The sequence below is a fragment of the Homo sapiens genome, chromosome 2 (genome assembly GCF_000001405.40).
Source record: "Homo sapiens chromosome 2, GRCh38.p14 Primary Assembly".
NCBI classification, from domain to species: Eukaryota; Metazoa; Chordata; class Mammalia; order Primates; family Hominidae; genus Homo; species Homo sapiens.
In genome coordinates, this window is record NC_000002.12 from 52,367,218 (window position 1) to 52,391,629 (window position 24,412).

General features: G+C 35.3%; 2 long non-coding RNA genes across 2 annotated transcripts in view; both read left to right on the top strand.

Moving 5' to 3' along the window:
• NRXN1-DT (NRXN1 divergent transcript) overlaps positions 1–24,412 on the top strand; it is a 1,375,317-nt gene that overhangs the window by 1,334,617 nt on the left and 16,288 nt on the right. The window lies entirely within an intron of this gene.
• On the top strand, positions 3,431–22,853 carry LINC01867 (long intergenic non-protein coding RNA 1867). Its single transcript, NR_135239.1, has 3 exons — positions 3,431–3,448; positions 5,901–5,954; positions 22,246–22,853. It is a non-coding gene; the product is annotated as a long intergenic non-protein coding RNA 1867 (long non-coding RNA).

The window sequence follows — 24,412 nt, forward strand, 5'->3', positions numbered from 1 at the left end:
CTTTTTGTATCAGCCAATAGTCTATATTTCAGAATTGCCTAATTTTCTCAAGGATTTTAGATTGTTTTTCCTCATCACGTTATTTTGATACTTTTCAAACTATGATACAGAAAAGTATCATAGATATGAGGGCTTTAGGTGTGCATATTTGAGGGAATGTGCATATTTGAGGGAAATACAGAGTTGGTTTTGGAAAAAAATTAAGTTTGCAAGGGTTACCACTACTGACATTGAAAATAACTGCAGAATGTGATATATTTCACTGTTTATGCCCAGTTGAGCAGGGAAAAAAATTCTATATTAAAATTAAAAACTTTCAAAAAGATCTTAAACCATGTAGGTATATTAAAAAAAAAAAAAACTTGGCAAAATTAGAGCTCCAGACACTAAACCACAAAAACTTGGATTACAGAATAATTAAACAATGGTAATGAATATGGTAAAAAAAAAAAAATGTTCCCAATAACTTTGCATTTCCTAATATCAATATTCATGACAAATCTGAAGAATAATTATCCTTACTTTTTATATAAGAAATCTAAATAAGTTGTACAATATATATTCTGCTGAGTTAACAACTCAGCAGAATATATATTGATATTCAGTTAATTTGCTTTTAATACCCATTTTCCCTGTTAAATATTCCTTTCCAACTGCTCTGTGTGTTACTCACCCCAATAGTATCACATAAATGTTTTTGGATTTGAGTACTGAATAGTGAAGGGGGTAGCACAGTAAGTTAAAGATATTTGGATATCAAAAAGTATTTTCAACAGGAGAAACAAGAAAAAGGTAAACCTAAGCACAAAGCAAGACAGTCCTTCCTGGAAGGAGAGTTAGCTACCTCATCGCTGCATTAAGAGATTTTACTTTATACACAATAGACAAATAGTAAATATTATTATAAGCTTACCAAAATATTTTTTTCCACTTCATAAGCTCTCTGAGTCAAGTATTGGAATACCTCAGTTCTTACATTTGGAATGCTCTAGGGATCAGTCCTCAAGTCTTTTCTATTTGTACTCACACTCCTGGTAGTGTCATGCAAACTCATGGCTTTAATATCCTCTATATGACAACTAATTGTGAATTACATTTTCAGTTTAGGCCTCTCTCCAAAATTCCAGGCTTAGGTATCTGACATCTCCTCAACAGGTCCTTTGGAACATGTAATTAAAAACCTGTCCAAAAACAAACTTCTTATCTGCCAAAAAGCATGCTCCAGTTACAGCCATCCTTGTACAAGGAAAAAAAAAAAGAATTTCACATGGATCAGTTTAGGTCAAAATCATTAAATTGTTCTCTGGAATTTTTGTTTTTCTGTCATATCTCACCTTACATTTTTTACTAAATCCCGTAGATTTTGATGTTAAAATATTTTCAGAGCCCATCTGTTCCTTGCCCTCTTTACTGCTAGTAACTGAAACTACCATGATCTCTTGCTTGGATCATAAAATGGCCTCTGAAATGTTCTCTAACTTTTTGCTCTTGACCTTTTGTATCCATTCTAAACACATAAGACCAAATGACCCTTATAATATCATGCCATAGCATGTCACTACTCTGCTCAAAACCTTGCCATTGTCAAAGTCCATGCAAGGCCCTGCAGGACCTGGCCTCCTGGCCTCTCTGACCTTATCATTCTGCTCCAGCCACACTGGACCCCTCAACCATGCCAGGTTTGTTATAGTTTTATTAAGCCTCTTGTTCTAACTATTTCTTCCAAGAGGGAAAGTTTGTCAAGATACATACAGTGGCTAATTCCTCATATCTATAAAATTTTCCTTCAAATCTCTCTACCCAATTACCACTTTATTTAACGCTGAAACTTACTCGTCCTTATTCAACTCTCTTTCCCCTTATTCTGTTTTTTATTTTTAAAATAACACCTAACTACCTTCTAATATATTGTGTAATTTACTTCTCTATTATACTCAATTTAATTAAATTCTCTATTTAATTACATATAAATTATTATATTTAATATATATTAAATTTCTCTATTATATTTAATTTCATTATCTGCCCTTACTCCAAAATATAAGCTCCACAGTGAAGTTCTTTCTCAATTTTGTTCATTACTATATTCCATGTACATAGAACTCTGCCTAGCACACAGGCTGACACAAAATAAATATTTGCTGAATTAATGTTGCATCGCCTCAGGCCTCTAACGGTGTGACATTCCATGGATGATTAAAGATATAACTATAAGCCTCAGCCTTTATGAATCAAATTTATGCTTTTGAAAAAATTCTAAGTTAGCCTACAGATGCTAACAATGAACCAGTCCAATTGCAAAGCTAAAGTTAGAAGAAAAAACAGGATAATGTATTTATTTTACTCTTATTCACATCAGAATTCAACTGTAATATGTGAAATCATTTCAGGGTCTGGCCAGTTCCCTTGACTTAAACACATTGCTTCAAATATTTTTTGAAATTGGTATCTGTAGAAATACATAACTATAACAATGTCTTGTCTTTACAAAGATTTATAGCAATGTTATTTGCTCTAATAGACTTTAAACTCCATCTGTAGTAGATACACTGTCTTATTTTAGGTCTGACTGATAGTCACATGCACTCACCTATCTTCAGATATACAATACCAATTGCTTCTTATATGTCCATCATTTCCACTTACATTGATAAACTATTTGTCTCAACAAAAATAACATTCCATCCTGAACTTCTACAAAATCCAAAGCCAGGAGAACTAAATTCTAATTATGATGGTGCTGTGTCACCTTGCGCAAGCCAAACAACTTTTTTAACAAAAATAAAACATGTATTATATGCATATTGCCATACCCTTTATGGACCCTGGTGAATCTCTGAGGGTAGACATGTCAGTATTGTTTTGAATGCAAGATCCCAGGTAGCTTCTACCAGTCCTTGTTACATAGGATAAAACTCACTAAACACTTCTTGAAATAGTATCTGTTATTAACATTGCTAAAAAACACTGTTTTTTAATTCGCTACCATGTGTCAGGCACAATTTTATTCTCTATTATGCATTATCTTAATCATAATATCACTGTAAAGCAAGGATTGTTAGTGATATTTTATCAAAAATAAAACTGAATATTAAGAAGTTATTAATTTTCCCAGTCATGAAGCTAGTAAAAGGTTAATATGAGCCTTGACCTCAGGTTTCTTTGCCTCTGAGCCTTGACTTTATTTTATACCTACTCCCTAGCACTTTGGTTAAAAATATCATATCTCCAATAAGAATTTTTTTTTGAAAATTCAAAAACCAGGATTTCTTTTTCTACCAAGCAACTTAATATGGTTGAAAGCATTGACAGTAGAATCAGTGGCCATTTTCCGTAAAGGTCATAAACAAAGAGAATGTAGAACGTCTAAGAGCAGTGTTGTTTACTTCAGACTTCTGCTTATCCATTTTGGTTCATTCCCAAGGACATACTGATTTGTAACCATGTTGTAGGTATTCTTTTCTAATCTTTAAAAAATGAAGTAGTAAAAATAATTTCAGACCATTAGGCACAAAAGATTTAGAATACCACTCAGAGAAGGCATGAAAGTAAAATATCAGAAAATCCATTTGGGGCTGGGTGTGGTGGCTCACGCCTGTAATCCCAGCACTTTGGGAGGCTGAGGCGGTTGGATCATGAGGTCAGGAGTTTGAGACCAGCCTGGCCAACATGGTGAAACCCTGTCTCTACTAAAGATAAAAAAAAAAAAAATTCACCAGGCATGGTGGCACACGCCTGTAATCCCAGCCACTAGGGAGGCTGAGGCAGGAGAATCTCTTGAACCCAGGAGGTGGAGGTTGCAGGTTGCAGTGAGCTGAAATCACACCACTGCACTCCAACCTGGGTGACAGGGCGAGACTCTATCTCAAACAAACAAAACAAAACAAAACAAAACAAAACAAAACACCAAAGAAGATCCACCTAGGTCAATATAAGCTCCTAAATAGTTGACCATTATGAAGAGGAAACATGGGTTATAATGTTAAACATTTCAAGTCTTAGGGAAATCAAATAACTATATTGTTCATAACATTTGCTTTGACAAGTCAATACAACTTCATGATAAGTTCTTATATGTTCTTTTATGTAATAATCTATGAAATTGTCTGCCTCCTCCTTTATCGTCAGTGTACTTTGCGTTTACCATACACTACTCATTTTAAGTTTCTTCCTATTTGCCTAGTATCCTATAATATTTTTATCTCTGAATCTCAGTCATCATCATCTGACACTATATGCCTTCCTACCTTTAATTTTAACTTGAAAAAATTTATTTATTGTGTGTTTGTATGGCATTTAGCCTGTTTACATAATATCAAATAAGGTAATTTCAACCAAAACTAAACCAAGTCTTATAGCATCTTGAGAACAACGTACTTAGATAATCGGTTGAATTTTTTTTTCACATTTAAACAAGTATTTTTGGTTTCATGTAGACTCAGCCAATAAGTCATAATTCTGCAATTGGAAGGTATGTTTGTTTAATCTTTCATATTTCTGGGTGCCATTTATGTTCATTTTCTTAAGATCGTTTAATTGCTATTAAAGTTTTTACTTGTCTGTTCTTCAGAAAAAGGATACATTGGCTAGTAGGATAATTTTCTGAGCTGTTTTAAAAGTCTTTGCCGAGATGCAAACCCAAGTATCTACTCTGTGTGTGTGTGTGTGTGTGTGTGTGTGTGTGTGTGTGTGTGTGCGTGTTTTGTAGAGATGGGGTCTTGCTATGTGATCCAGGCTGGTCTTGAACTCCTGGCCTCAACTGATCTTCCTGCTTCAGCCTCCCAAAGCATTGGGATTACAGGCATGAGCCACTGTACCCAGTCACAATCTACAATTTAAAAAAAAAACATGTGGGTACTATCTATATTTTTAAAGAACCTCATGGCAATTCTTGACTTTTAAAAAACTTGAGGCACAAAAATAACTGTTCAAACTGAATTATACTTACTTTACATTTTTCCACTCAGGTCTGTCATTGTACTAATATTTTTTCTTGCACCTCTCTTGTATAACTAGGAAATTGATTCTTATTTAGAAACATTAACTCTGTAGGCCCCAACAGGCTTTGGTACTCTGGAAGAACTCATGGTTTTCTAAACAGAATTCATATTGCTCTCACACTTTCCATAAATATAGTAATTTATTCCATACACAAGGAAAGGATCATTTACCGAAGAGCAATATCTTTCTCTATCAAAATATTTGCATTTGATTACATAATGAAATACTATTATTTGCAAGATACTGTGATATGCCAGGCTATGGAGAGGTAAGGCTATGCCAGGCTATGGAGAGGTAAGGAAAAGTCAAGAAAATTCTAGTTTGGCACATAGGAGTAAAAGGAGAGACACAAAGTACTTTGTTGATTTAGCAAATTGCAAACAATCAGAAAAAAAAAACATTATGAATGCTACTTTTCTGGAATGTAACTTAGAGGGTTTGACTTTCTACATTTCTACTGATCTATTGTGTGCTGAGGTATATGAAGTGTTGAATAAGGGCCTGGTACTGTCCTTGGCATTAACAAACCCAAATAGGCCTAGGTAGAGGAAGGCAATTAGGTCTGGAAGGTGTTGAGGAGGGTTCTGGGAAGACAGATTCCAGATGGATTTGCATGAGTACACGTTTGAAAGGAAAAAAGTGAAAGGTATGTTTGGGCACCAAAAATTAGTCCAAATGAGTAGGGGCCTAAAGAATACATGGTGAGATATTGCTATAGAATTTTAGAAAGGTAGATTAGGGCCACGAGCTGGGTGTGGGCACATGATGCAGGTAAGTCTGCTGCCGCTGCTGTTGACTTTGTTATATCCCAGGAATTATGATCAACTCTCTGGAAAAAACATGTATTAGATTTCAAGTAAAAAAAAAATTCCATACTAACTTTTATTTTTCTCTCCTAGAGAAATATACCTACCTGTCACTAAAATACATGTCAAGTTACATAATCTGTTAAGGTGAGAGAGCATCCTAAGATATCACTATAATAGTGAAATGTATTCATAAATATTTTACTGATTTTTATTGATTGATTGAGAAGTAGAAACCACTGGTATATTAAAAAAAGTCTGATCGATTACTGTACAATAATTACTCAAATTTATGTATTTCTGTATCACTGAAGTGTAATATGATGAAGAGAAAATGAAATTGCTATGGGAAGCAGGAGGACATACTTAGACCTAGAGGACAGGGAAGACCTCTTTTAGGAAGCAACATTCAATAGAGATCTGAAGCATGAGCAGGAATTAGTTATAAAAAGTGGGGTGTGTGAGAATTGAGGGAGGGATTACACAGCATTCTGTACAATGCCTCAGAGGGGAAAGAGAAAAAGATTAAACAGCTAATAGTGGGAACCTCAAACAGGGGAGATGGTTGTTCAAGTTGAAGCTGAAGATGTAGGATGGGAATGTTTAAACTTCACCTGGAAGTGTGATGCCACATCACTGAAAATGCACCGAGTTAGAAAACAACACTTAACTTATTGACTCATAAAACTCAGAATCTAGGTACCTAAAGTTTCAAATAAAACCAAAATACCAAGAATGCATTATTAGATTAGATTAAGCAGATTAGAAATCAAAAAACTGTCTTTTCCTCATTTTCAGTACATTTAAGATGGAATTTTCTATAGATTGGAAGTAATTGAAAAGATTAGCTGTTCTTAATAAATGAAGCACACCTCACAGAAGAGTTTGGAAAAACATATCACCAGAGTTCCACATATCTAAGTGTATCTAATTCAGGACAAAGAGATCAAGGCCTGAATATTTAGATTTTTTTTTTAAGTTTTCTAGTTATTGTGATATGCAACTCTATTGACAACCATCCATCACTGTGAGAGCCTTTAACTCTCTGGACTGCAAAAAATTCAAGACCCAAGGTAACCTCAGTTATGGCATATAAGGTTCAGATGCATTTAATCCAAGTTCCTTCACACTTATATCTATAGCTGTAACAGCCTATAAAAATTGATGTTTACAAACATAAGCCCTATCACTATGAGATCATAAGAAACTCACCAAATATTATAGATTTTGTATTATACTTTCTTAGACAGAAAAAGAAATGTGGGCCGAGCACGGTGGCTCATGCCTGTAATCCCAGCACTTTGGGAGGCTGAGGCTGGTGGATCATGAGGTCAGGAGTTCGAGACCAGCCTGACCAACATGGTGAAACCCTGTCTTTACTAAAAATACAAAAATTAGCTGGGTGTTGTGGTACACACCTGTAATCCAGCTACTCAGGAGGCTGAGGCATGAGAATCACCTGGACCCGGGAGGCAGAGGTTGCAGTGAGCCGAGATCGCACCACTGCACTCCAGCCTGGGTAACAGAGCAAGACTCTGTCTCAAAAAAAAAAAAAAAAGAAAAGAAAAAAAAAAAGAAAAGAATTTTAATGCTTTTTGTAACAGCCAAAGGGAATTTTAGACTAACTGTAATTAACAAGACAACTTAGATAATCAAAAGCCTTCTGTTCTGTCTTTGAGTTACCTGATGATTTTCTCTATTAGAATGCCCTTACATTGAAGGATTTGGCATTATTTTATCATAGATTGCTTTTCTTCATCCTCTATTTTACATTCCTCCCCAATAGCTCATATCTACCTCTTATATTAGGCCAGCTAATTGGAAGCTTAATTGCTTACATAATTAATACAGGGCAAAAATAAGATACAGAAAACCTTTGAGTATGTGGAAATATGTATGTGCACACATTGCACACACACAAATATATATATATGTTTTAAGAAAGTGTAATTCTATTTTTCAATTTAATGATTTGTCATGAGCAACCTCTAGGAAAAGACACATATATTCTCCTTTTAATAGTTGCGTAAAATCCTATTGTGAGGATCTAGATACCTTTAACAAGACTGTTCTTTCTCTCTGCATCTAGTCTAACAACAAATAGCCATTTTATTTTTCTAGAAAATGTTTCTACCAGAAATAACTATTTTAATTGACAAAAAACCAATTGTACACCATTAATTATATAACTATGTTCATGTTAATGGAAGTGTTTATTTCAGATTTAACAAATATAAGTAATGGTGCAATAACCAACCCCCTGTATGTGGGTACTTACATCTTAGTGAGTTATTATTTATTTGTTTAAATTTATGGAGTACACATGCAATTTTGATACATGCATAATGGTCAAGTCTGGGCTTTTAGGGTATCCATCACCCGAATACCTTACATTGTAAGCATTATATCTTAGTGTTTTAAACATAGGATAGGTTAAATAAAGTAGGAGTACATGGTGAAGAATATGTGTATTTTTAAAAGTACCAGTTGCTACTACCTTCGTTTCCCTCAGGTACTTACTACCATCAGCAATGTACGAAAGTGCTTGTAGGCACACCAGTAGTGAACTAAATTTTTGTTTTGAAATGTATTTGAACTGATGAGAAAAAAAAATAGTACCTAGTTGGGTTTATTTTCATTTCCTTGAGTGCTAGGAAGCCTGAGCAAATATATAAAGTATTTATTGATGACTCATTTTCACCCTTTATTGTCTTGACTGTTCATACCTTTTGCTAAGTTTCTACTAGGAAGTTTCTTTTAAATATGTAGAATAATTTTTGTATAAGTAAACTATTTACCCTTTAGTATTTTTACTTAAAAATATTTTTTTCAAGCCTATACTTTTAGATTCTGGATATTAGTCCTTTGTTGAATGCATTTGCAAAAATGTTCTCCCATTCTGTATGTTGTCTGTTTATTCTGTTGATTGTTTCTCTTGCTGTGCAGAAGCTCTTTAGTTTAACTAAGTCCCCTTTGTCTATTTTTGGTCTTGTTGCATTTGCTTTTGTGGTCTTAGTCACAAATTCTTTGCCCAGGCTAATATTCAGAACAGTTTTTTCTAGGTTTTCTTCTAGGATTTTTATAACTACAGGTCTTACATTTAAATCTTTAATTCATCTTGAGTTAATTTTTGCACATGGTGAGAGGGAGAGGTCCAGTTTCATTCTTCTGCATGTGGGTTAGCCAATTTTCCTAACACCATTTATTGATTAGGGTGTCCTTTCCTCATTGTTTATTTTTGTTGCCTTTTTCAGAAATCAGTTAGTTGTAAATGTGTGGCATTATTTCTGGATTCTCAATTCTGTTCCATTGATCTATGTGTCTATTTTTGTACCAGTACCAGGCTATTTTGGTTACTATAGCTTTGTAGTATAATTTGAGTTTGGGTAATATGGTATCTCCAGCTCTGTTCTTTTTGCTGAAAATTACTTTGCCTATTTGGGTTTTTTTTTTTTTTTGATTCTACATTAATTTTAGAATTTATTTTTCTAATTCTGTGAAAAATGATCATAGGAATTTGATAAGAATTGTATTGAATCTTTAGATTGCTTCAGCAGTATAGTCGTTTTAATGATATTGATTCTTCCTTTCCATGAACACGGAATGTACTTCCATTCGTTTGTGTCATCTGCAACTTATTTAATTGGTGTTTTGTAATTTTCCTTGTAAAGGTCTTTCACCTCCTTGGTTAAATATATTCCTAGCTATTTTATTTGTGTGTGTGGCAATTATAAACGAGACTGAGTTCTTAATTTGGCTCTCCGCTTGAGCATTGTTGGTATACAGAAATGCAAGTGATTTTTGTGCATTAATATGTATCATGAAGTTCTACTGAAGTCATTTATCAGGTCTAAGAGTCTTTTGGAGGAATCTTTGGGTTTACTAAGTATATGGCCATGTCATCAGCAAACAGAGGTAATTTGACTTCTTCTTTTCCTATTTGGATGCCTTGTATTTCTTTATTTTGCTGAACTGACCTGGCTAGGGCTTTCAGTGCTATGCTGAATAGGAGTGGTGAGAGTGCACATCCTCGTCTTATTCCAGTTCTTAGGAAGAATTCTTTCAACTTTTCCCCGTTAAGTGTGATGTCGGCTGTGGGTTCGACATATAGAGCTCTTATTATTTTTAGGTATGTTTCTTTGATGCCTAGTTTGTTGAAGGTTTTTATCATGATGGGATGTTGGGTTTTATCAAAAGATTTTTCTGCATCTATCGAGGTAATCATATGGTTTTTGTTTTTAATTATGTTTATGTGGCAAATCACATTTATTTCCATATATTAAACGAAGAATGCAAGAATGCATCCCTGCAATGAAGTCCTTCAATTGATTGGAATGGATTATATTTTTGACGTGCTGCTGGATCCTGTTTGCTAGTATTTTGCTGAAGATTTTGGCATCTATGTTCATCAGGGGTATTGGCCTGTAGTTTCCTATTGTGTTCTTGCCAGATTTTTATATCAGGATGATACTGGTCTTATGGAATTAATTAAAGAGGAATCCCTTATCTTTAATTTTTTTAAATATTTTCAGTAATATTAGTACCAGATCATCTTTATACATCTAGTAGAATTCGGCTACGAATCCATCTGATCATGGGCTTTTTTGCTGTTGTTCTTGATAGATTTTTTTTTATTACTGATTCAATTTCATAACTCATCATTGGTCTGTTCAGGATTTCAATTTCTTCCTGGCTCAATCTTGGGAGACTGTATGCTTCCAGGAATTATCCATTTCCTCTAGATTTTCTAGTCTGTGTGCATAGAGATGTTCATGGTAGTCTCCTGAGGATCTTTTTTATTTCTGCGTTATCAAAAATACCACTGATTGCACTTGTTTGAATCTTATTTTTTTGATTTATTGGTTAATCTAGCTCACAGTCTATCAATTTCCGTTATCCATTCAAAGAACCAACTTTTTATTTCACCGATCCTTTGTATGATTTTTTAAAATCTCAATTTCATTTATTTATACTTTAATCTTTGTTTCTCTTTTTTTCTGTTGGCTTTGGGTTTGTTCTTATTTTTCTAGTTCCTTTAGGTGTGATGTTATATTATTAATTTTACATCTTTCTATGCTTTCCATGTAATCATTTAGCACTATAAACTTTCCTCTTAACACACTTTTGCTGTATTCCAGAAGTTTGGGTATATTGTGTCTCTATTTTCACTTGTTTTAATTTTTAAATTTCTGCTTTAATTTATTATTTACCCAAAAGTCATTTAGAAGAAAGTTTTTTAGTTTCCACGGGACTTCTGTGTTTTTGAGGGCTCCTCTTGTTATTGATATCTAATTTTATTTAACTGCGGTCTGAGGAGATGCTTGATATGATTTCATTTCTTTTGAATTTATTGATATTTTCTTCAGGGCCAAGCTTATGGCAAATTTTGGAGAATTTTTCATGAACAGATAAGAAAAAGATCAAGAGTCCAATTTGAGTCCTGAGTTTCTTTGTTGGTTTTCTGCCTTGATCTGTCTAGTGCTGTGAGTGGGCTGTCGAAGTCCCCCACTGCTATTGTATAGCTGTCTACCTCTTCTTAGGTCTAGTACTATTTGTTTTATAAATATGTGTGCTCTGGTGATCAGTGCCTATGTATTTAGGAAAGTTAAATCTTCTTGTTTATTTCCTTTATCATTATATAATGCCCTTCTTTGCCTTTTTCTACTGTTTTTGGTTTAAAGTCTGTTTTATCTAATAGTCTTGGTTGACTTTGTTTTGTGTTAAGAAGACTAAAATAGGCCCCCAATCTCTTCTGGCCTGTAAGGTTTCTGCTGAGAAGTGTGTTGTTAGTCTTATGGGATTACCTTTATATGAGAGGTAATTTGGTTCTTTTCTCTAGCTGCCTTTAAGATTTGTGTGTGTGTGTGTGTGTGTGTGTGTGTTGACCTTAGATATTGTGATGACTATATAACTTGGTGAAGGTTGTTTTGTATATCATTTAGCGTGTGTTTTCTGAATCTCTTGTATCTAGATATTGACTTCTCTAGCAAGATTAGGCAAACTTTCCTGAATTATTTCCTCAAATATGTTTTCTAAGCAGCTTACTTTTTATTCTTCTCTCTTAAGAATGCCAATAAGTCATAGGTTTTGTCACTGTACATAATTGCATATTTCTTAAAGATTTTGTTCAATTTTAGAATTTAAAAAAAATTTTTGTCTGTGTTAATTCAAAAGAATGCTATTCAAGCTCTGAAATTCTTCTCGGTCTAGTCTATTGTTAATGCTTTCAACTGTTTATTGAAATATTTTAGTGAATTTTTCAATTTGAGAAGTTATATATTATATATGTCATATATACAGTCATATACATTATATACATAAGTATATTTATAATACAGTTATATATGTTATACAGTTATATATATAAGTATATATTATATATGTATGTTTAAAATATAGCTATCTCATCTTTCATATTCTGAATTGTTTTTCTGGTTTCTTTGTGTTGATTTTCAACTCTTTCTTGGATCTCATTGAATTTCCTTACAATCCATATTTTGAATTCTTTATCTGTCTTTTCAGAGTTTGCTTTAGGTTAGTAACCATTGCTAGAGAGTTATGTTCATATAGAGGTGTTGAGATACTGTCTTTTTGTACTGCCAGAGTTCTTGCACTGATTCTTATCTGAGGGAGGTATTACTTCTTATTTTTAATTTTATTATCATTTGGATGGGATTCTTTTATTTATTGTTTTCTTCAGGGCGTGGCTGTGTTGAATGCTATGTATAATCCTTTAATTTTGTTTATTTGTTTCTGAGTGCTTTCAGGGAGCCCAAGGCTCTGTATGGGTTCCTTATGGATAGTTTCTGTGTGGTGGCTTTCTCAGATGCTTCTTGTTGTAGTGGTGTATTGGACATTTAAGCTGACACTCTGTCTCTTGAGGGGCTGAGCGTGGGGATGTTTTAGCAAGCTTGTCTCATGCACTAACACTATGCCATTTTGGCAGCAGGTTTTTTTTTCATTTGGCATTGCAATTCAGGCTTCAGTCTCCAGTAATTGGCACTCTAGAGTAAGAGCCAGCTCTCCTTTGTGTAGACTGATGATCATTGGTCACACTCTTCCTGACAGTGGGAGAAGGGTTGCAAGGGGGGTTCATGTTGGGGTGCACTGAAGTTTCAGGGGAAAGAGTTAGTGGGTGTGCACCAGTTCCTCATCCTGAGCAGGCAGGAACCTAATTGCATCCCTGGTGCAGGGCCCATGACCTTTAGTTCAAATAGACTTTATCCTTCGGCTCCTGGCCACAGTGTAGCTTCAGCCCATGGACACACGTTTCTCCTTGGCTACCACCAACATGGGCTCAGGTTGGAGCCTCTTTCCCCAGTGCAGGGCGGACAACTCTGTGGTTTGCCCGCCATCCTTTGCTGGGAGGCTGCCACTCTGTGTAGGGAGTGGGAGTTGGACTCCACCCTTTGTGCAAGTCCAAGCAGTGCAGGCTCACTTTCGATGGAGGTGGAACTACCACAAAAAGCATGAAAAGTACTTTCTCCACGTATTGGCCCCCAGCAGGGAAAACCTCTACTGTGTTCACAACAGTGCACTGGTTGGGGGAGATGACCCCTCTGTGTCCATTCTTGGCTGGCGGTGCCACCCTCTTCAGTGATTGGCAGTGCACTTGTCTCTCCTTTGTCCCCAGGGAAGGTTTGTCAGGCTGTGTTTCCAGCTCTCTTAGGGGCGGCCCACACCAAGGGTTAGGTTTGGGAGTTTGCAGTTTCCTGGGGACCTGCCGATCCCCTGTGATTGCCAAAGTTAGAACAGGTTGTGGTGTATGTTTGAGTGTGTGAAGGGGGGTCTCATGATGCCACGACTCAAGGGCAAAGCAGAGTAGAGGTCCGCCACAGGTGGCACGCAAACAATATGGTGTTTGCTGTTTTAGTGCAGGCCTGAGGAGTGTGGACATAACTATGAGTACTGGCCAGCTGTTTCTCTGTCACTGGGAACTCCCAAATTGCGAATGACAGTGTTGCCCAGGGTCATTAGGGCAGAGGGGCTCCCCAACAGTTTGGCAGTTAGCAGACAGTCAAAGGGGCAAGGGAAGCAGAGAAACACCCCACCTTCCCTTCCTTCTGGGCTCCACATTCCTTGGAGGTCAATCACTGTCATACTCTTGCTTTCTTTTTCTGCACTTCAGCTTCTTCCCATACGCGCTCTGACAGGTCCTGGCTCTCTTTCCTCAGTTTTCCATTTGGAACATGTGCATTCCCCAGTAACTTTTATCTTCTTTCTGAGGAGAATTTTCACCCAATGTTCCTACTAATCCATCTTAAAAAATAAAGGCTTAGTTAAATATTTCTGGTTTTATTAGATACAATCAGAATGTGGGACATAATATAGTTTTTTATTTTATATTAAGCTTTTCTATGTGAAGGTGTGCACACATATGCACACACACATATACATACACATACCATTTTGTAGCTAAAAGAGGTAAAATATGTTATTCGTTGCCAGTATAAATAGCTTTACATTGAAGATATTCTATTTTCCAATTCTGAATATTTGGTATATTAAGATTAATCTTAAAACCATCCTGCCACAGACATTTAGAAATAATGGATAAAGTATGCTTTGTCCAGTTATAATCATTTCAGTACCCTGCTGAGCTTGCAAGTAAGAAATCCCCAATCACCCTAACTAGAAACAATGTGAACCGAATAGTATAGTAGTGGATACATAAATTCACTCCGGAACTGATCTGGGTGTTAGAGGAGGAATCAGTCCTTGTAAGTAAGGAATTGAGAGAAAAACAATGTCCTTGGGACCCTATTAGGTCTGAGCTCACAGTAAATAGGTAGACTAAAAACAAATCTGCATCATTGGAAAAATTCTGGACTATAGTATACTCTCCTTAACCACAGGGGATTTCAACACCCCCAGTGGATGCCTAAAACTGTAGGTGGTACTGAACTCTGTACATACTATGTTTTTCCTAAACATGTATGATAAAGTTTAATGTGTAAATTAGGCACTGCAAGAGATTAACAAAAGTAACCAATAATAAAATAGAATTATAACAATATACTGTAATGAAAGTTATGTGAATGAGTTCTCTCACCCTCTCTTAAAATATCTATTGTACCATAATCGCCTTTCTTCTTATGATGATGTGAGATGATAAAATGCCTGTGGGATGAGATGAAGTCAGGTGAAATGCATAGGCACTGTGACACAGAGTTAGGTGACTACTGACCTTCTGATAATATGTTGGAAAGAGGGTCATCTGCTCTGGGTTATTCTGGATCATCTAGCAATGACAACATCAATGGTTGGATGTCAAGAAGAGACAACGTTGATGCGTAACAAGTGGGTAGTGTCTACAGCATGAATATGTTGGACAAAGGGATGATTCATGTCCTCGGTAGGACAGAGCAGAACGGCATGAGAGTTCATGATGTTACTCAGAATAGCACACATTTTAGAACTTATGAATTGTTTGTTTCTGGAATTTTTCATTTAATAATTTTAGACTGGTTAACTGCAGGTGTCTAAAACAGAAAGCAAAGCTGTGGATAAGCAGGTACTACTCTTTTCATTTCTTCCAGGTCTCAAAGGAGAAAAATGAAATTCTCCCACGCAATTTAATAAATCAGGTTCTGAGTCCTGCACTAACATGGAGAGTGCATTACTCTGGAGGAATAGTCAAGTTCTTCCCTTTCCAAGATTCTACCTTTAAAAGTCAGGTCTAGGGTGGTAAAACTCCAAGGGCTCTGGCAGAAGCAAATGCCATGCTATTTTGGATGATCACATTTCTCACCCAAGTCACAAAGAATTAAATAGATATAAGAGGCCACTCAAAAGTTGAATGTGTACTTTAAAAATTACAAACCCGTTCACCGAGAAGCAATCTACCTGGAACAAGAGAAAACAGACGCACGTAGAAGAATTAGAAACCCCCAAACATGAACTGATCCTTAACAAATGAAACAGCACATTAAATGAGTATGTTAAATTATTTAAATACATTAAATAAGACATCAAACCAGGTACTGTGAAACACTAGGCCTCTCACATATCTTGTGATATGATTTACTCTGAAAAATAGCATATATGTGTTATCAATGAGTAAGTCAAAGAGAAAATAGAAAATTGTGATGTAAACAGGATGATAGATCTGAGGAAATTACAGAAATGAAAAGTTCTAAATATTTAATTAAAAAGGGTTTTAAGTGGTTATAATAGAAGGAGCCAAAAATAAAAGAGGCAATATTTGAAAACATAGTGACTTTGATTTTTTTTCAAAAGTTGATAAAGACAGTAATCTTCAGAATCAAAAAACACAGTGAGAGTCAAGAAGTTAAATTTAAACAAATCCACACATGGATACATTATAATAAAACTGCATAATACAATTAAAAAAACACACAAAAGACTCATAGCAACTAAAGAGAAGGGAATGTTTACTTATACAAGAACAAATTGAATGTCATTTAATTTCTCAAAAGAAACAATAGAAGCCTGGAAAGAAATAGAAAAAGGAAAGAAAAGGAAGGAAGGAAAGAAGGAATGAAAGAAGGACGGAAGTGATGAAGAGATGTAAAGGAAGGCGAGGGAAGAGGAGGGAGAGGAGGGCTTGTAGGGGGAGGGAAGAGGAAAAGAAAAAGAAGAGAATAAAATAAAATGAATATCTTGAAGAAAAGTATCTGTTACCCTGTAGTTCTATAGCTATATAATATTGCAAACTCCAAAACAATTTTTAGACACAGGCCAGTTTCCTACTCCCAAAACTTTATTACAATCCTAAATGTGCATGGTAAGCATATTATTATCAATGCTTCAACCTCTCTCTGTTATAAAATTATATTGCAGTTTCCTCCACTACAGGTGAGATACCTTTCCCTGCCCAGGAACTTTGAGGTTACCCATGTGACTCGCTTTGGCCAATGACAAGTGACATAATGCAAGCAGAGGTTTTAAATGTTCTTGTGTGGTTTGGCTTGCCTCTCGTGCTCCTGCTAACACCATGAAGCATATAAGCTCCAGGTTTTCTGCTCCTTTAACCTGGGCCCAGTAATGATACATATGGAACACACTTGACCAGAAACACAGAGTAAAACCCATCTCATTCACACTCTGAAGCAAAGATGCCCTGAATGACCCAGGTTCAGGAATTAGAAAAGTAAATATTGTTGTAGGACATTGAAGTTATTGGAGAAATTGCTGATTAACACAGTGTGTTTCAGGAAGATGGAAAGGGACCTTGAACACAACAAAAGGAGTGGAATGAAGAAATGATGGTGGGCAAATATTTGGTGAATATTTGAGAAAATTCAAACAAACATGAACTTCATAAGACAACAAAATAATTTGTTATAATTTGTTATGATTTGACAACAATATTATTTGTGTCATATGAGAAGGGGATAGAAATGCAATTCTATGTAGGCCAAGCCACAAAGGCTGGTTTTAAATTAATAGTAACAAAATATTGGATATTACCAAGTTTACCTGCAAACCAGCAAGAATACAATGTAATATTATGCACATGTGAGAATATTCCTGGACAGCGGTGCACATGGGATTAACTTCCTGGTACATCCTTTATTGCTCTCAAAGTCATGGCCAAAGCTCAGTGTCTATGCTGCCTGTATTAAACTAGGATTCAAGGAATTAGAGGCACACAGAAGCACATGCTTACAGCTTTTTATTTGAGGTAATGGGGTAGGCTTATTTAAGGAATTTAAGGATTCATATGATTAGAAGATATTTTTGCTGCAACATAGTAACATTACACATTTTTTGCACTATATTTTCTGCTGAATTACCTGGCTTACGTGAAGTTTGAGGACAGCTGATCTAGAAAGAGTCTACTTCTAAATCAATCCTGACATTCTCAGGATATGAAATTTAAGGCAGCTAATAATTAATGAAAAGACATACACTTACATTTGTTCCTTTTAATTTATGGTTAAAATTGAGGCTTTCTCACTTAGAAGCTTCTTATTTGCTTCTTATTTGCCAATTTTATCCTTCTTTTAGCTTTATCATGATTATGTTTGTTTTCTTACAAATTCTTGTTAATTTAGCTATCTATTCAGTCTAGTGATGATTTTCCCCTTTTCCCCAAAGTTATAATTAAATTATATTTATGTATTAATGCACCAACATTAAATTATGACTGTATACCACTCTCACTCTAAAGCAAGGCATTATACTTCCAGATCCACTTCCCTACAAGATGAGAACTTAAGATAACTGTACATCCATTCCAAACCCTGAGTTTACTTGATATAATTTAGTTATTTGGCTCTAGTTATAAAATGTTTCATCTGTTTCAAATAATCTCATAAAGAAATAAAAATTTCTAAGTCATATTTTCATCATACATTTATATTTCACTATGTACAATCAAATTAAAATTGAGTATTTTTATTGACTACAAATTAGAATATATTTTATAGTATGAATTTGTGTACCTTTTCTTAGAGTACATTCGCAGTGCATTCTTGTCTTCTATGGTTTCCCCTCAACAAAGAATGACACGTTTTAAGCTGTACAGAATATTTTAAAATTCATTTATTTTCTTTAAGCAGTCTTTATTATTTTATCATTTTCAAGCTTGCAGTGCTGCACATGAGAAATGTAATTTTTTTCTGGATTCTTGCTTCTTTGCATATAATGTGTTCTTTCTGTAAGTAATCTTATATAATTTTTTTTTTATTCTTGGGGCCCAAAAGTGCCTCTAGGATATAGAGACCAGTACTGTTTAGATCAGTACTGTTTAGTTTTAGTGCTATTTAGATTCAGTAAATTTCAGTACTGTTTAGATTCAGTAAACCCTTTCTACACTGAAGTTTGAACCTCAAATTACTTTTCACGTTAAAAGTATATTATTTATAATAATAAACACTAAAATTTTAATAATTTATTTTGCTCTATCTTTGCCTTCTGTCTGGAATTTTTATTATTTACATTACTGGTTTCCTTGATCTATCCATAAGTTTTCATTTGTGAAATTATTTTCTTTTTTCAGACCTCTGCTATAAGGTGTTTTCTTCATATGATATGCTAGAATTTTAATTTGTCCTCAGCAATGTTTTTTTCTGTCCTCATTTGTTACATGTTTATATTTGAAAGTCATATATTTAGAGCTATAAATTAATTTCTGTGTTTTTATTGTATCATTCTGACATTTCATTTTTTTTGGTTAAAATTTTTGTTTTTCACTTTTATTGTTTAAGCTCCATAGGTACCACATGTCCTAGTTGTTCATCTTGATCTTTATGCTTCACATGGCTGAAGCTTCTTAGAAGGATTATATAATGTATTTAAATCTACTCTTGGTTATGTATTTCATCAGCAGGTATAGAGATCAGGCTCTTCAGTGTCATGTCTTGTGGTATACAATGGAGGCTACCGCTATGGTTATATTCGTCTGTTGGTTTTTCTTTGGAATTAATTAAGTAATTATTCATTTAGTGGATCTGTGAACCTTTTGCTAAGGCATTAGGGACAGACTTCTTCTCTTTTCTAGGTTTTTCTACATATACTCAGGGAAGAGGCATTCCCACCCTAACCTCATGTATCAGGACCAGTGCATTTCATATGAGCAGCTCCTCTGCAGATCTAGTAGTGTTAGCCAGTCAGGCAGGTTTTCCAAGTGCCTCCCACAACAAGACAGCTGGTGAAGCCTCTCTCTGGGCAAATTCAATAGCCCTTGCCATCTGCGCTCTTTAGAGCCATGAATTCCCTATTTGTACCCCATAGGAAAAGAAAGAATTTTCCTCTGCTGCTGGTCCCATACCTCCCACCCAGCACCCCTAAGATAAAATCTCACAATAGAAAAGCAGAAGGAAATCCTGCTCTGTTGGCCTATGTAGTCTGAAAAAATATTAACACAGCTTCAGTTACATACCATTTGGAACACACCATATGCTGAACCATGATAATTAGCCCAACTTGGATACTGAAAAATCTGAAGCTCTGTAAATTTTGGATAATGTCAAGAAAAGGGAGAAGAAAGAGGAAACAAAACCAGAAAACATATGCTAGCAAAGCACTAGAAAGTTAAATGATGGAAGGCCAGGACCATATTCAAAATTATTGTGAAGAGAGAATGTTTGCCTTTTCTTGATGAATATTTTTTAAATTTACAGATTGTACTAGGTTTTAATGTTACAAGTTACACCTGCTGGATAAAATATTTTGCTTTTACTTGTTTCAGTATCCTATTTTAGGAAATTCAAAGTTCAAAGGAATTTCATTTCACTGGGGATAAAATACAACTAATGGAGGAACAAAAGATCAACATCTCACCCCTATTCTTCTGTTTTTTTTTTCTGTTTATACAATTAAAATGAAATTAAAATATCTCTAATAGTGTTCACATGTTTATATAGTCATAACTTGGTCTCTTTTATACACAGGCCTGATGAGTTATTATAGAAAAATTTATATGCCCAAACTGTTTAAAATGATTTCTTTGCCCATATAGGAGGACATCTAGTCTTTATTCTAAAACAGGCCAAATCTTATATATGAGGCTTTAGATTACTGTTTGAAAACATAAATGTAAACAATGTAAAAACATCAACTTACAGATTTTGAAATTCAATACCAACACAAATATAGATATCTTTCAAAAAGTTAGTGTTTTGTAATACAGTTCATACGTGCTTTGAATTTAGACAGTCTAGAGCTAAAGAATTCCTTCTTTACCTAGAGATTAGCTGCACGGTTCTGTTGAATGCAGGTCCTGGGCCCTCAGCACCAGCCACATGTATTCTGATTTAGTTGATCTACAATATGATACAGATGGTTCATGGAGGGGTGACCACACAATTTGTTGTTTGAATTGAGTCATTTTTGAAAGTCAAAGGAGAGGCATTAACATTTATAAGGCAAATCTGGTAAATCACACTGCATGGTCACACACAGACTACAAACTGAGAAACCTTGCTTTACTCAAGGTGTTGTAAAGTGACTTCTGGTGTGTTATGGAAATCAAATACACAAATACAAAAACTAAATAGAAAAATATAATGCTGTGGAGTAGTGTTTCAAGGTGTATCTTCTTCTTTTTCCCTTTCTTGCACTGGAAAAAGCAGAAGGACTCATTGAGTGCCACCCTTGTGCCTATACAAAACGAGGCTGCTCCAGATGGATGCTGCAGCTCTTCCCCTGTCCTGTTCTGAGCACCCACCTTACTACTCACAGCTGCCTCTTCTCTAGAGGAGCATTATACTGCCTTAAAGCTCTTTTCTGATTTCTTCCCAAAGTTTAAAAAATGTTGAGATACCATCAGCACTCACTGACTCGAGAGATACTCTTTGATCTATACAGAAATAGTGACAGTGCCCCTTTCCCAGCCTCTGGGCCCCAAAATAACCTTATCTATGTCCTCATCATCAGCAACTCTCCACATTTCATTCCAGCCTGGAATTCCTAGGCTCAAGTAATCCTCTAGCGTCAGCCTCCCAAATAGCTGGGACCACAGGCGCATGCTACCATGCGCAGCTACATTTTTTAGTTTTTATTTACTGTAGAGACTGGGTCTTGCTGTGTTGCTCAGATTAGTTTCAAACTTCTGGCCTCAGCTGATCCTCTTGCCTTGGCTTCCCAAACTGCTGAGATTACAGGCATAAGCTACTGCACCCAGCCATATTTTAAAGCTAAATAGGGTTCAGTTTATTCCCTCAAGACATTAATATTTTACTAGAAAAATATTTTTAAACAAATAAAAACAATATAAAATTGAATAGGAGAAAAGTAACAAAGTTTTATGAGATTTTTATAGAAAAAAATGCATCTTCAGCTGAAGGGTGAGGATAAGAAAAGTACTTAGAAATACTAGGTTTTTGTTTTTTGTTTTTTGTTTTCTTTTTGAGACAGAGTCTTCCTCTGTGGCCCAGGCTGAAATGCAGTGGTGCGATCTCGGCTCACTGCAACCTCCGCCTCCCATGTTCAAGCAATTCTCCTGCCTCAGTCTCCAGAGTAGCTGGGATTACAGGCGCCCACCACCATGCCCAGCTAATTTTTGTATTTTTAGTAGAGACAGGGTTTTTGCATGTTGGCCAGGCTGGTCTTGAACTCCTGATCTCGTGATCCACCCACCTCGGCTTCCCAAAGTGCTGGGATTACTGGCATGAGCCACCGCACCTGGCCTAATAATAGGATATTTAATATAAGTTATGAAAAATGGGTTAGATGCTGGGAGGATGGCCGTGCTAAACACAAAAATAAAACAAAGAACTGTCATGGAAAAGTAAGTTGAGGTTCCTCTTCAGGTAATAACAACTACTATTAATTTGTACTTACTAAAGCATCAAGCTGATTACTGAGCAGTAAACAGATTATGCAAGAGTAGCTTTGAATGAGTAAAGACAGCCACATATTTGTGCACAGGTTTATTGTTTTTCAAAGTGTTTTCTGCCACCTCGTATACTTGGCTTTCTGTTTACACTTTCAGAAAAAAGTACATTTTTAGTAAAATTCTATTTTGCAGTGTGAATCTTTTTGTGTTCCTTTCCAAGTTTGGAAGCAGAAGAGAGACAACGGAGTAGGCAGATGGAGAAACAAATATTGACTTTATTACTAAATAAATCTGGTATTGGAATAGGATTCCTAAAGCTGAGTCCCAAAATGAGACTGATTTGCTGTTCTAACAGAAACCAGAAGATTCAGTGAGAAGCGTCAGAAGCATCTCCCTAACATGAGAAATGAAACTTTTGAAAACATCACCAAAGTTGTTCCTGTCTTGTACTACAGGGCTCTCTCTACTGACTGGAGATCTCAGGAGAAATCATGACTCCTTTCGCCTCACCTGGCTGAACCACCTGGATGTCTTTCCATCATTCTCTGTCTATTATTACCCTATAGAATGACCTTCTTTCTTATATGTGTTCAGGAAGGGCAAAAAAAAAAATCTCCTAGATGTATTTCTCTCTTTTTAAAAACTGTAAGTACTCAGAACAATACCAAGAAAAATACAAAAGCAAAGCTTTTTATAGCTAATTAGAAACTTCCTTGCAATTCTGAAGTGTATGTGATATTGTGTATTGTTACAATAATACACAATATTATTAAAGTATATGTGATATTATGTATTGTTTACCCTGTGGTGCTATATATGAATTTGTGTATGAAGCTATTCTTTACATTTTAATGAAATGTCATCAATATATAGAGAAAATAATTTTCCTAGGTATCACTGGAGATTCAAAATTTACCTCATATGAATACATTATTTTAGGGGACAATATTTATGCAGCCAGATAGAGAATAAATTGGCTAGAAAGATTGGGATGAGCAGGCATTAAACATCACATTCAGCTCTTAGTGCCCGAATTTCAGACTATTTTCAGGGACGGCATTACTAAAGGACTATTGCAGAAGAATAAGAGACTATACCAGAAATGGAAAAGAAAGCTGGCTTTTTTTTTTCCCCGGCATAAGTTTTATCCTACCTATAACGTGATTAAGCATCAATGTTACCTAAGGAGTTGTTGATACAGTACTTATGTTGAAGCCTCATTCCTGACCTAGTAAATGATTTTTTTCCCTGCAAGTGGGAGTATTCAGACGGAGAAATTATGGAGTCTTGCCTGTTTAGGTTTGAAGATTTTAACTTGTGTGCTCAGTCTCAAAACATATAGAAACTATTGAAACACTTCTCGTATTCCCTAATCCAAAGTCAACTTCCTGCCTGGTTTTCTATAACTACATCCAAACCTTCTTAACCCTGAGTAAACTCATTGTATTCACATGTAGATATTTTTCTCTCATATTTTTAAGAGTCATCAGTTAATACCACCATTGTTTTATTTAAAAGTGAGACTCCCACTATGTTCTTTATGAGTAGTTCATACTCTTGATTTAATCCCCAAATCCTCTGGCATCTTTCCCTGCAATCTGAAGTTGGAGAAAACTATAGTTACTGAGTCACATTAAAGCTATGACAGTTCACATTTGATTTTCACCTCATTTTACAGATGCACAGCCTGAGAACTATCTAGTAATTCTGAATCCATTGCATCTTCTATGGGCAATTCAAAATACTCTGACTTGGGCATAGTTAGTGAATCATGTTTGGACATTTGGGAGGAACACCACATATCATTCAGCAAGATCCATTTGAAGTTTCCTTTTAGGTGTTAATGACTTGGAGTTGTAATTTTACCAGCCACTGTCTTCAGCCCAATGTTGGGAGATGAAGTGCGTGTTTTATGAAACAAATTATGATTTTTTATTTCTTAAAAAGTTATACTTCTTTGCCTGTCTTTTATCATTCCCCTGAAAATAATTATGAAGTTCTCTTTTGTAGAATTTTTCAGGATGTTGCTTTGAAATTAGAAAATGCTATCACACCTTGAAGATTCTACACAGACTATGCATACAAATACATTATTTGCTGTTGTGTGTCTACCCTGAAATGTCGGTTTTGATCACACTAAGTTTTTCTTAGCCTGACCTATGTAAATCAAAAACAATATAATTCTCTCTCAACCCTCAGAAAATACGTGCATGAGTATCTCTAGATAATTTGGATAATCAAAGTACTGACTAATGGTGGAAAGTACAAAAAACATGATTATGAAGAATGCATCAATTTGACTATTCCTTTGCTTATCATGCTTCTGCAAATTTACAGTATCTATGGTTCTTGTTTCTCT